General features: G+C 47.4%; 1 protein-coding gene, 1 long non-coding RNA gene and 1 pseudogene across 3 annotated transcripts in view; 2 read left to right on the top strand and 1 right to left on the bottom strand.

Annotated features, from left to right (window-relative positions):
* LINC00395 (long intergenic non-protein coding RNA 395) overlaps positions 1–1,504 on the bottom strand; it is a 70,337-nt gene extending 68,833 nt beyond the window's left edge. Inside the window, exon 1 of the long non-coding RNA NR_047011.1 lies at positions 1,395–1,504. This is a non-coding gene — a long non-coding RNA (long intergenic non-protein coding RNA 395). The remainder of the gene's footprint in view (positions 1–1,394) is intronic.
* On the top strand, positions 921–6,054 carry OR7E156P (olfactory receptor family 7 subfamily E member 156 pseudogene; annotated as a pseudogene). Its single transcript, NR_002171.2, has 4 exons — positions 921–1,835; positions 2,359–3,729; positions 4,252–4,395; positions 5,838–6,054. The product of NR_002171.2 is annotated as an olfactory receptor family 7 subfamily E member 156 pseudogene (transcript).
* A 4,172-nt stretch (positions 6,055–10,226) lies between these two features.
* LOC112267897 (keratin-associated protein 21-1-like) lies at positions 10,227–11,662 on the top strand. Its single transcript, NM_001395920.1, has one exon. It carries the CDS (start codon positions 10,287–10,289, stop codon positions 10,674–10,676), a length of 390 nt encoding a protein of 129 aa, NP_001382849.1. The 5' UTR covers positions 10,227–10,286; the 3' UTR covers positions 10,677–11,662.
* The last annotated feature ends 966 nt before the right edge of the window (positions 11,663–12,628 follow it).

Consider the following 12,628-nt stretch of genomic DNA (forward strand, 5'->3'; position numbering starts at 1 on the left):
TCTCTAGAGAAACTTCAGGACAAGAAACAAAAGGCACTAAAAGGAAATGTTAGCCTTTGACACTTACAGCAACAACAAACAGTAAACACAGCCTAACTCTTAGATAAACATAAAACCTCACACTAAAGATCTATTTGCTTCAGTTCCTTTTACCAACACATCATGTTTAGCTTTCAACCACAAATTACAAGCACATTATGAGGCAAAAGAAAACACATAATGAAGCGATAAAGCAAGTATCAGAAACAGACTCAAATTAGATTTTGGAGTTATCAGACAGGTAATTTAAAATAACTATGATTAATATGTTAAAAGCTCTAACAGAAAAAGAGAACAACACACAGGAACAGATGGGTAATGAAATAAAGAGAAATGAAAAGTCTAAGAACGGATCAAAGGGAGATGCTAGAAGTCAAAAACACTGTATCAGAAATAAACAATGCCTTTGACAGACTCATCAGGGAACAGAACATGGCTAAGGAAAAAATAATTAAGGTATGTCTAATAAAATTTCTCAGACTGATAAACAGAGAATAAAATGAAAGAATTAAACAAATGAACAGAATATGTGAGAACAGCGGGCCAGTTAGAAAAGGTACCACAAATGCAAAATTAAACATCAGAAGGAGAAGAGAGAGGAAAAAAAAAACAAAAAACAGAAGAAATACTTGAGGTAATAATGACTGAAAATGTTCAACTGTGAATATGACTCAAAGCCATAGGTCCACTAAACTAATAAAACACTAAGACGGTTAAACATTTTAAAACATTTTAAAAATCGAAACATGAGCATAACATACTCAAACTTGCAGAATTTCAAAGGGAAAAAGAAAATCTGAAAAAATTCAGAAGAAAAACACCTGTAGTTCTGAGTCTTCTCTTTCATGTGGTTACTTTGGAATGTTCACGGCACATAATACAATCGGTATATTTACTGATTGTGTATTGGTGAATTGGTGCTGGCTCTCAGTTCCCGCCTCGCGGCGGGGGGGGCCTGACCACCCCTGCGATGGGTGTCCTAAGAGCCAGGGGGGGAAGAGGGGCTGGCTGTCAGTCCCCGCCTCCCGGGGGGTGCCTCCCGCCCCTACGATGGTGGTTCCAAGAGTCTGGGGGGGAAGAGGGGCTGGCTTTCAGTACCCGCCTCGCGGGGGGTGCCTCCCCCAGGTGCGATGGGGGTCCTAAGAGCCAGGGGGTGAAGAGGGGCTGGCTCTCTGTCCCCTCGTCGCGGGGGTTGCATCCCCCCCCTGTGATGGGGGTCCCAAGAGCCAGGGGGGGAAGAAGGGCTGGCTCTCAGTCCCCGCCTCACTAGCAGGGGAGTTGCTGCCAAGGCCCTCAAACATGGGGGCCATCCTTTAGAAACCCTGTCTAGTTGTTTAGAGACATAGGCCACCGACCTCATCCAGGGCCCCACAGTTTGGGTTAAAAGTCCACCTGCCATCTTTTCTCTCTCTGACACATACAATGGAAAAGGCTTTGTCAGATCGGGTAACCCCAGGGCTGAAGCTGCCAGAAGTTTTTCCTTTAACTCATGAAAGACTTGCTGTTGTTAGGATCCCCCTTCCAAAGGTTCCCGGTCCCCGACCCCTTTGTGACCTCATACAAAGTCTTGGCTTATACTGCAAAGTTTGGGATCCACAGTCTACAAAACCCCACAGCTCCTGAGAATTCTCTCGCCTGCCTTCGGCCCTTAGGCTCTGGTAGATTGCAAATAACATGCTTTCTTTCTGTTCCCGGGTGGCTTCGGACCCCTGTCGGATCGGAAATCCCAAGTAAGGTACCTGCCCTGGGCAGATTTGAGCTTTCTTCTTGGACACCTAATACCCACAGTCCTCCAGGTAGGTCCTAAAGATCTTGGGATCCGCGATGGGGGTCCTAAGGCAGGGGGGGAAGAGGGGCTGGCTCTCACCCACCCCAAAATGGGCGGCCTTTATGTTCAGGTTTTGCCCAAGAGTCAGCTTATTTGCTTCTTCTACTATCAGGGCAGTTGCTGCCATGGCCCTCAAACAGGGGGGCCATCCTTTAGATACCCTGTCTAGGTGTTTAGAGACGTAGGCCACCGGCCTCATCCAGGGCCCCACAGTTTGGGTTAAAAGTCCAGCTGCCATGTTTTCTCTATCTGACGCATTGAATGGAAAAGGCTTTGTCAGATCCGGTAGCCTCAGGGCTGGGGCCTCCAGAAGTTTTTCCTTTAACTCAAGAAAGACTTGCTGTTGTTGGGATCCCGATTCCATAGGTTCCCAGTCCCCGCCCACTTTGTGATCTCATACAAAGGCTTGGCTAATACTTCAAAGTTTGGGATGCACAGTCTACAAAATCCCACAGCCCCTAAGTATTCTCTCACATGCTTTCTGCCCTTAGGCTGAGGTAGATTGCAAATGACCTGCTTTCTTTCTGTTCCTGGGTGCCTTCGGACCCCTGTCGGATAGTAAATCCCAAGTAAGGTACCTGCCGTCAGCAGATTTGAGCTTTCTTCTTGGACACCTAATACCCACAGTCCTCCAGGTGGGTCCTAAAGTTCATAGGATCCGCGATGGGGGTCCCAAGCCAGGGAGGGACGAGGGGCTGGCTCTCAGTCCCCGCCTCGCGGGGGGGTGCCTCCCCCCCCCCTGCGATGGGGGTCCTAAGAGCCAGGGGGGAAGAGGGGATGGCTGTCAGTCCCTCCCTCGTGGGTGGTACCTCCGCCTTCTGCGATGGTGGTCCTAAGAGCCAGGGGGAGACGAGGGGCTGGCTCTCAGTCCCCGCTTCGCGAGGGGTGCCTCCCCCCCCCGCGATGGGGGTCCTAAGAGTCTGGGGGGAAAGAGGGGCTGGCTCTCAATCCCCGCCTCGCGGGGGTGCCTCCCCCAGGTGCTATGTGGGTCCTAAGAGCCAGGGGTGAAGAGGGGCTAGCTCTCTGTCCCCTCGTCACGGGGGTTGCATCACCCACCCTGCGATGGAGGTTCCAAGAGCCAAGGGGGTAAGAGGGGCTGGCTCTCAGTCCCTGCCTCGCGGGGGTTCCTCCCCCCCTGCGATGGGGGTCCCAAGAGCCAGGGGGGGAAGAGGGGCTGGCTCTCAGTCCCCGCCTCGCGGAGGGTGCCTCCCCCACCACTGCGATGGGGGTCCCAAGAGCCAGGGGGGGAAGAGGGTCTGGCTCTCCACCACCACAAAATGGGGGGCCTTTATGTTCAGGTTTTGCCCAAGAGTCAGCTTATTTGCTTCTTGTACTAGCAGGGCAGTTGCTGCCAAGGCCCTCAAACAGGGTGCCATCCTTTAGAAACCCTGTCTAGTTGTTCAGAGACGTAGGCCACCGGCCTCATCCAGGGCCCCACAGTTTGGGTTAAAAGTCCACCTGCCATCTTTTCTCTCTCTGACGCATACAATGGAAAAGGCTTTGTCAGATCGGATAGCCCCAGGGCTGAAGCTGCCAGAAGTTTTTCCTTTAACTCATGAAAGACTTGCTGTTGTTGGGATCCCCCTTCCAAAGGTTCCCAGTCCCCGCCCCCTTTGTGACATCATACAAAGTCTTGGCTTATACTGCAAAGTTTGGGATCCACAGTCTACAAAACCCCACAGCTCCTGAGAATTCTCTTGCCTGCCTTCGGCTCTTAGGCTATAGTAGATTCCAAATAACCTGCTTTCTTTCTGTTCCCGGGTGGCTTCGGACCCCTGTCGGATCGGAAATCCCAAGTAAGGTACCTGCCGTCGGCAGATTTGAGCTTTCTCCTTGGACACCTAATACCCACAGTCCTCCAGGTGGGTCCTAAGGATCTTAGGATCTGCGATGGGGGTCCTAAGGCAGGGGAGGAAGAGGGGCTGGCTCTCACTCACCCCAAAATGGGCAGCCTTTATGTTCAGGTTTTGCCCAAGAGTCAGCTTATTTGCTTCTTCTACTATCAGGGCAGTTGCTGCCACGGCCCTCAAACAGGGGAGCCATCCTTTTGAAACCCTGTGTAGGTGTTTAGAGACGTAGGCCACCGGCATCAGCCAGGGCCCCGGAGTTTGGGTTAAAAGTCCAGCTGCCATGTTTTCTCTATCTGACCCATTGAATGGAAAAGACTTTGTCAGATCGGGTAGCCCCAGGGCTGGGGCTGCCAGTAGTTTTTCCTTTAACTCATGAAAGACTTGCTTTTGTTGGGATCCTGATTCCGTAGGTTCCCGGTCCCCGCCCCCTTTGTGACCTCATACAAAGGCTTGGCTAATACTGCAAAGTTTGGGATGCACAGCCTATAAAACCCCGTAGCCCCTAAGAAACCCTCACCTGCTTTCTGCCCTTAGGCTCCAGTAGATTGCAAATGACCTGCTTACTTTCTGTTCCCGGGCTGCGTTCTGACACCTGTCGGATAGTAAATCCCAAGTAAGGTACCAGCCGTCGGCAGATTTGAGCTTTCTTCTTGGACACCTATACCCACAGTCCTCCAGGTGGGTCCTAAGGTTCATAGGATCCACGATCGGGGTCTCAAGCCAGGGGGTACAAGGGGCTTGCTCTCAGTCCCTGTCTCACGGGGGGTGCCTCCCCCCTTGCGATGGGGGTCCTAAGAGCCAGGGGGGAAGAGGGGATGGCTGTCAGTCCCTCCCTCGTGGGGGGTGCCTCCCCCTCCTGCGATGGTGGTCCTAAGAGCCAGGGGGGGAAGAGGGGCTGGCTCTCAGTCCCCGCCTCGCGGGGTGTGCCTCTCCCCCGGCGATGGGGGTCCTAAGAGCCCAGGGGGGGAAGAGGGGCTGGCTCTCACTACCCTCCTCACGGTGGGTGCCTCCCCGCCTGCGACTGTGGTCCTAAGAGCCAGGGTGGAAAGAGGGGCTAGCTCTGAGTTCCCGCCTCGCGGGGGGTGCCTCCCCACCCTGCGATGGGGGTTCCAAGTGTCAGGGGGGAAGAGGGGGTGGCTCTCACTCCTCGGCTCGCGGAGGCTGCCTCCCCTCACTGAGATGGGGGTCCTAAGAGCCAGTGGGGAAGAGGGGCTGGCTCTCAGTCCCTGCCTCGCGGGGGGTGCCTCCCGCCTCTGCGATGGTGGTCCTAAGAGCCAGGGGGGAAAGAGTGGCTGGCACTCAGTCCCGGCCTCGTGGGGGGTGCCTCCCCTCCTGCGACGCGGGTCCTAAGAGCCAGGGGTGGAAGAGGGGCTGGCTCTCACTACCCTCCTCGCAGTGGGTGCCTCCCTGCCTGCGATTGGGGTCCTAAGAGCCAGGAGGGAAAGAGGGGCTAGCTCTGAGTCCCCGCCTCGCGGGGGGTGCCTCCCCACCCTGCGATGGCGGTCCCAAGTGTCAGGGGGGAAGAGGGAGTGGCTGTCACTCCTCGGCTCGTGGGGGCTGCCTCCCCCCCCTGCGATGGGGGTCCTAAGAGCCAGGCGGGAAGAGGGGCTGGCTCTCAGTCCCTTCCTCGCGGGGGGTGCCTCCCGCCTCTGCGATGGGGGTCCTAAGAGCCAGGGGGGGAAGACGGGCTCGCTCTCAGTCGCCGCCTCGCGGGGGGTGCCTCCCGCCCTGCGATGGGGGTCCCAAGAGCCGGGGGGGAAGAGGGGCTGGCTCTCTGTACTCGCCTCTCGATGGGTGCCTCCCCGCCTGCGATTGGGGTCCTAAGAGCCAGGGGGGAAAGAGGGGCTAGCTCTGAGTCCCTGCCTCTCGGGGGGGTGCCTCCCCACCCTGCGATGGCGGTCCCAAGTGTCAGGGGGGGAAGAGGGGGTGGCTGTCACTCCTCGGCTCGCGGAGGCTGCCTCCCACCACTGCGATGGGGGTTCTAAGAGCCAGGGGGGAAGAGGGGCTGGTTCTCAGTCCCTGCCTCAGTGGGGGTGCCTCCCCCTCTGCGATGGGGGTCCTAAGAGCCAGCTGAGGAAGAGGGGCTGGCTCTCAGTTCCCGCCTTTTTTTTTTTTCTCAGTGTTTTAGACGCCCAGCTGCACAACTTGATTGCCTTACAAATGACCTGCTTCCAGGATGCGGAAATTCCTAATTTCTTCTGTGACCCTTCTCAACTCCCCCATCTTGCATGTTGTGACACCTTCACCAATAACATAATCATGTATTTCCCTGCTGTCATATTTGGTTTTCTTCCCATCTCTGGGACCCTTTTCTCTTACTATAAAATTGTTTCCTCCATTCTGAGTGTTTCATCATCACGTGGGCAGTATAAGGCCTTCTCCACCTGTGGGTCTCACCTGTCAGTTGTTTGCTGATTTTACGGAACGGGCGTTGGAGGGTACTTCAGTTCAGATGTGTCATCTTCCCCGAGAAAGGCTGCAGTGGCCTCAGTGATGTACACGGTGATCACCCCATGCTGAACCCCTTCATCTACAGCCTGAGAAACAGGCATATTAAAAGTGTCCTGCGGCGGCCGCACAGCAGCACCGTCCAATCTCCGTATCTTCTTATCTGTTCCATTCCTTTTGTAGTGTGGGTTAACAAAGGCAGCAAGGTCAAATAAGAATGATATCACAGGGCGAACACCCAAAGTGATATTAGGAGTAATACTCCCTAGGATATAGAATATACTGTCACAGAGTATACACAGATGGGGTATACCCACTGTGATATTAGAAGCAATATCTCCCTAATGTATGAGGAAAAATATCACAGGGTGTGCACACTGTGTGATATGAGGAGTAATATTTACCCTGGATATTACGACTAATATCAAGGGTGTACATACACGGGGTACACGCACTGTGATATCAGGATTTGTATCTCCCTAGGATATTAAGAATACTATCACAGGGTATACACTATGTGTGTACATCCACTGTGATATTTGAAGTAATATCTCTCTATGAGATTGCAAATAACATCAAAGCGTGTACACCCCTGTGACACATTAGGAGTAACACCCTTCTAGGGTATTACAGATAATGTCACAGCGTGTACACCTCTGTGACGTTTTGTACACACTTTGTGACATTAAAAGAAACATCCCCCTAGGATATTGTGAATAATAACACAGGAGGGGTACACACATGGTGTACACCGCCTGTGTCATCAGGAGTAACATTCCCCTAGGATATTATGAATAATATCACAGCAGGTGTACACACATGGTGTACGCCCCATGTGACATTCGGAAGAGCATGCCCCTAGGATATTAGGAATAGTATCACAGGCGTTGAATACGCATTTTTAATGTGTAATGTCACCCCCGGTGACATTAAAAATAACATCCCCCTTGGATATTATGAATAATAGGACCGGGAGTACACCCCGTGTGACATTAGGAATAACACCTCCCGAGGATATAACGAATAATATCAGAGGGTGTCCATGCATTGTGACCTTAGTAGTAACATCTCTTTAGGATATTACAAATAGTATCACAGGGTGTACAGGCATTGTGACATTAGTAGTAACATCCCACTGGGATATGACGAGTCATATCACAGGGTGTACACCCCGGTGACAATAATAACAACATTCCCCTAGAATATTACGAATAATATCACAGGAGGTACAGCCCCTGTGATTTACAAGTAACATGTCTATAGAATATTACAACTCATATCACTGTGTGACTCTGTGTACACCCCGTGTGACTTTAGCAGTAACATCCCACAAAACTATGATGAAAAATATCACAGGGTGAACACCCCCTGTGACCTGAGGAATAACGTAGTTTTAGGATATTATGAATGATGTGACAAGGTGTACACACCCTGTGACGTTAGGAGCAATATCCGTCTAGGATGTTAGGAAGACTATCACACGGAACACACCCCCTGTGACATTAGGATATGACAAATAATATCACAAGGTGTACACGCATCGTGACATTAGTGCTAATATCCCTCTGGCACACTATGAATAATATCACAGGGTGTACATCCCTGTGACATTAGGAGTAACATCCCCCTAGAATAGTAAGAATAATAACACGGGGTGTACACCCCCTGTGACATGAGGAGTATCATCTCCCTAGAATATTATGAACAATGTCACAGGGTGTTATCGTCTGTTCCAATAGGAGTATAGACCCCTGGGAAATTATGAATACTATCACAGGGTGTACAGCCCTGTGACATTAGCAGTAACATCTTTCTAGAATATCACGAATAATAGCACAATGTGTACACCCCCTGTGTCATTAAAAGTGAAATTGCCGTGGGATATTACAAAATAGAACACAGGGAGGACACCCCGTGTGACATTAGAAGTAACATCCCCCGAGGATATAACCAATAAGATCAGAGAATGTACCTGCATTGGGACATCAGTAGTAACATCTCTTCAAGACAATACTAATAATATCAAAGGGTGTACACACATTGTGAAATTAGTAGTGAACTCCCGCTAGGATATTAGGAATTTTATGACAGGGTCTACAGGCCCTGTGACATTAGCAGTAACGTTTTCCTAGAAGATTACGAAGAATATTAAAGGGTGTACAGGACCTGTGAATTACGAGTAACATTTCCATAGCATATTGCACGTAACATCACTGTGTGTACACGCCATGTGACATTAGGGGTAACATCCCACAAAATTATAACGAATAATTTCACAAGCTGTGCACTCTCTGTGACATTAAAAGTAACACTTCCCTAGAATATGACGACAATATCACGGAGTGTACACCCTCTGTGATATGAGGAGTGACATCTTATGAGGATAATACGAGTAATTTCACAAGGTGTACAAACTCTGACATAAGGGGTGACATCCCTCTAGGACATTATGGATAATATCAAAAGGAACATACCCCGTGTGACAATAAATGCAACCTCCCATTAGGAGAATAAGAAACACCACAAGGTGTACACACAATGTGACATTATTATTAAGGTAAAGCTAGGATATTGGGAATAACATCACAGTGTACAGAGTCCTGTGACATCAGGTTTAACATTCCCCTGCAAAATTACGAATAATACTGAAGGGTGTATACCCCCTGCGACTTTAGAAGCTGCATCTTGCTAGAATATGGAAGATAATGTCCCAGGGTGTGAACCGAGGGTGACAGTATAGAAAGGATCCTAGGAAAAATCCGGGAGTAATATCACCCCACTATCGCCCCCTGGATATGACCATCCACATCGCGGGGGGCACCCGCCCCCCTGCGATGGGGGTCCTAAGAGCCGGGGGGCGGAGAGGGGTTGGCTCTTACTCCCTACATTGCGGGTGGTGCCTCACCCCCCTGCACTATTCACAATAGCAAAGACTTGGAACCAACCCAAATGTCCTTCAATGATAGACTGGATTAAGAAAATGTGGCACATATACACTGTGGAATACTATGCAGCCATAAAAAGGATGAGTTCATGTCCTTTGTAAGGACATGGATGAAGCTGGAAACCATCATTCTCAGCAAGCTATCACAGGGACAAAAAAAGCAAACGCCTCATGTTCTCCCTCATAGGTGAGAATTGAACAATGAGAACACTTGGACACAGGAAGGGGAACATCACATACTGGGGCCTGTCATGGAGTGGGGAGAGGGGAGAGGGATAGGATTAGGATATATACCTAATGTAAATGACGAGTTAATGGGTACAGCGGTGTTGGTATAACATGGGACATGTATACATATGCAACAAACTTGCACGTTGTGCTCATGTACCCTAGAACTTAAAGTATAACAAAAAAAAATAAATATATATATATATTTAAAATGAAGCTGGTTAGGTTTTAAAAGGCTCCTCAATGATAATTACTTATATAGCTGAAGAAATGGGAGACAAAAGGAGGGCTTCTCTGCCTCCCCAGGGTCTTGGTTTGCCTGGAGGATGGAAGGAAAATATAAGAAACACTTGCAGATAGCATACAGTCTGGCTTTGAATGATCAGATGTGAATATGTTTCTTGGGATTTGAGGGAGGTTGGACAAGGGGTAGGTGTGGAAGTGCAGAGTGAGTTGGAGAAAGAAGTCTGGCAAAGAAGTTGTAATGACTCAGGAAAGGGAATAGGGTTGTCTCTTTCCCTATGGGTAGAGGTAGATATTTTAGGAAAAAAGAGAGAGAGAAAAAAAGGATAAAATTTTGTTATGATCCCCCCAAAACTTGTTATGTAAGATATATATCTACTGATAGGACATTTTGAAAATTAGTATCAGCTTTATATTTGGGCACATGATTTCACTGAGATGGTTCTTTGGCAGAGCAGATTAAAATGATGTTCCTGAAATGAAACTCGAGTCTCCAAAATAATTGGCTCATTTTAAGCAAAATATTATTGATGATCAACAGTGACTGGCACATAATAATTGTTTAAATATTTGTTGGCTAAGTCAGGGAATGAATGATATGCTTTGGCAATTACTGACAGTATATAAAGGTCTCAGGGAAGTAGAAGACGTCCACACCTCAGAAGCATCTTCTTGAAACCCATCTCAATTCTCTCCTCTTGACAACATGTGTTGCAACTACTACGGCAACTCCTGTGGCTATGGCTCCAGCTATGGCTGTGGCTATGGCTCTGGTTATGGCTATGGCTATGGCTCCAGCTATGGCTGTGGCTATGGAACTGGCTACAGCTGTGGCTATGGCTGTGGCTATGGCTCTGGTTATGGCTGTGGCTATGGCTCCAGCTATGGCTGTGGCTATGGAACTGGCTACAGCTGTGGCTATGGCTCTGGCTACAGCTGTGGCTATGGCTCTGGCTCTGGCTGTGGCTATGGAACTGGCTTCGGCTGTGGGTATGGCTGTGGTTATGGAACTGGCTATGGCTGTGGATGTGGCTCTGGCTCTGGCTACTGTGGCTACCGGCCATTTTGCTTTAGAAGATGCTATTCTTCCTGCTAAAACATCACTGTCAGAGGACAATTTGCTTCTAAAATGACACGGCTAAAGATAATACTGATTCAAGGATTCATACTCCAAGATTTCTATATCCAAGAATTACATGCTTGACAGAGTCTTGGACCTCTAGCCTCACATTTCTTTGAATGAAATCATGGCCATAGGATCCACGGTGTCATCTGACTGTTTTCCAAATGTTATCTTTTGCTCCCTTAATCTCTGACTCTCTGTTATGACTGTGTTAATGATCATAACATCTACAATTGGGGAAGTCAATCATTTGTAATAAAAATGGTTCTTTATTCCAAAAAAAAATGTTTTAGTACAAAAGAGTCAAAAAGCTAAAATAAAATATAGTTTATAAAGCAAAAAATTATCAGTAAGCTAAGTTTAATGTATTATTGAAGAAATAAAATGTATTTTATACATTTACCCTAATGCCTAATGTTTAAGACATCTACTGTAGTGTACAGTAATATCCCAGGCCTTCACATTCACTCACTAATCACTCACTGATCCACCCAGAACAATTTTCAGCCCTGTAAGTGCCATTCGTGCTAAGTGGTCTATATAGGTACTGTTTTATTATTATTATTATTATTATTATTATTATTTTATACTGTGTTTTTACTGTATCTTTTCTAGATTTCAATAAGTTGAGATACACAAATATTTATTATTGTGTTACAATTGCCTATATTATCCAATATGGTAACATGCTGTGCAGGTTTGTATTCTAGAAGCAATAGGCTATACCTTATAATCTAGGTGTGTTCTAAGCTATATCATACAGGTTTATGTAAGTACACTGTGAAATCTGCATGGCAAACATCATTGCCTTATGATACATTTCTCAAATTTTCAGAACATATCCCTGTTGTTTAGCAGCACGTGAATGTATTTGATTTATTGTCTTGATGTCCCTTTGCTTTCCCCATGTGTTACCATCAACTGCCTAATGAAACAGCCTGGGATTGTGTAATGACTAACTTAGTGCTTTGAGTTTAATTCTTTTTCAGCCACTGTGGTATGTTGATTACTATATTAATAATGTGTCTCCTTTATGTGTTTTTAAATAGTTACTTGGTCATGAACTATTTATAAGCTTTGGAAACATGATTTCATTTATTCTGCAGGATAACTTCAGGAAGTGGGTATTAATTCTCACTGTATAAGTGAAGACATTAAGCACCAGAGTTTAAGTAGCTTGGTAAGTGTTATTCCAGTAATTAAATAGGCATAAATAGAGTTCAACTTTCTCAGTTCTATCTATAATTTCTCTCTATGTATGGGCTTATTTATATCAACCAGTATACACCTTGGTTTCGGCAATCAGTTATTGACTTTCTTTAAAGAAGGAAGAGAAGAAAAAAAAGGGAAGAAAAAAAAACCATAACCCTCTTTTACTATCGGACACCACATTTTTCTCTTCCACATTATCTTCTTTAAAGAACTGCATGTTGCAGAGTCCATGAGTGCAAGTGCTAGAAAGGCCAGGTAGAAATATTAAAAGTGATGCAGTTCAATACTGACAGTGATGAAATACAGAATGTATGGACCCTAATACACCGTGGAATACTATGCAGCCATAAAAAAGGATGGGTTCATGTCCTTTGTAGGGACATGGATGAAGCTGGAAATCATCATTCTCAGCAAACTATCACAGGGACAAAAAACCAAACACTGCATGTTCTCACTCATAGGTGGGAAATGAACAATGAGAACACTTGGACACCGGAAGGGGAACATCACACACTGGGGCCTGTCGTGGGGTGGGGGGAGGGGAGAAGGATAGCATTAGGAGATATACCTAATGTAAATGATGAGTTAATGGGTGCAGCACACCAACATGGCACGTGTATACATATGTAACAAACCTGCACGTTGTGCGCACATACCCTAGAACTTAAAGTATAATAAAAAAAAAAAAGAGAGAGAATGTATGGACCCTATAA

Source organism: Homo sapiens, chromosome 13 (assembly GCF_000001405.40).
Source record: "Homo sapiens chromosome 13, GRCh38.p14 Primary Assembly".
NCBI lineage: Eukaryota > Metazoa > Chordata > Mammalia > Primates > Hominidae > Homo > Homo sapiens.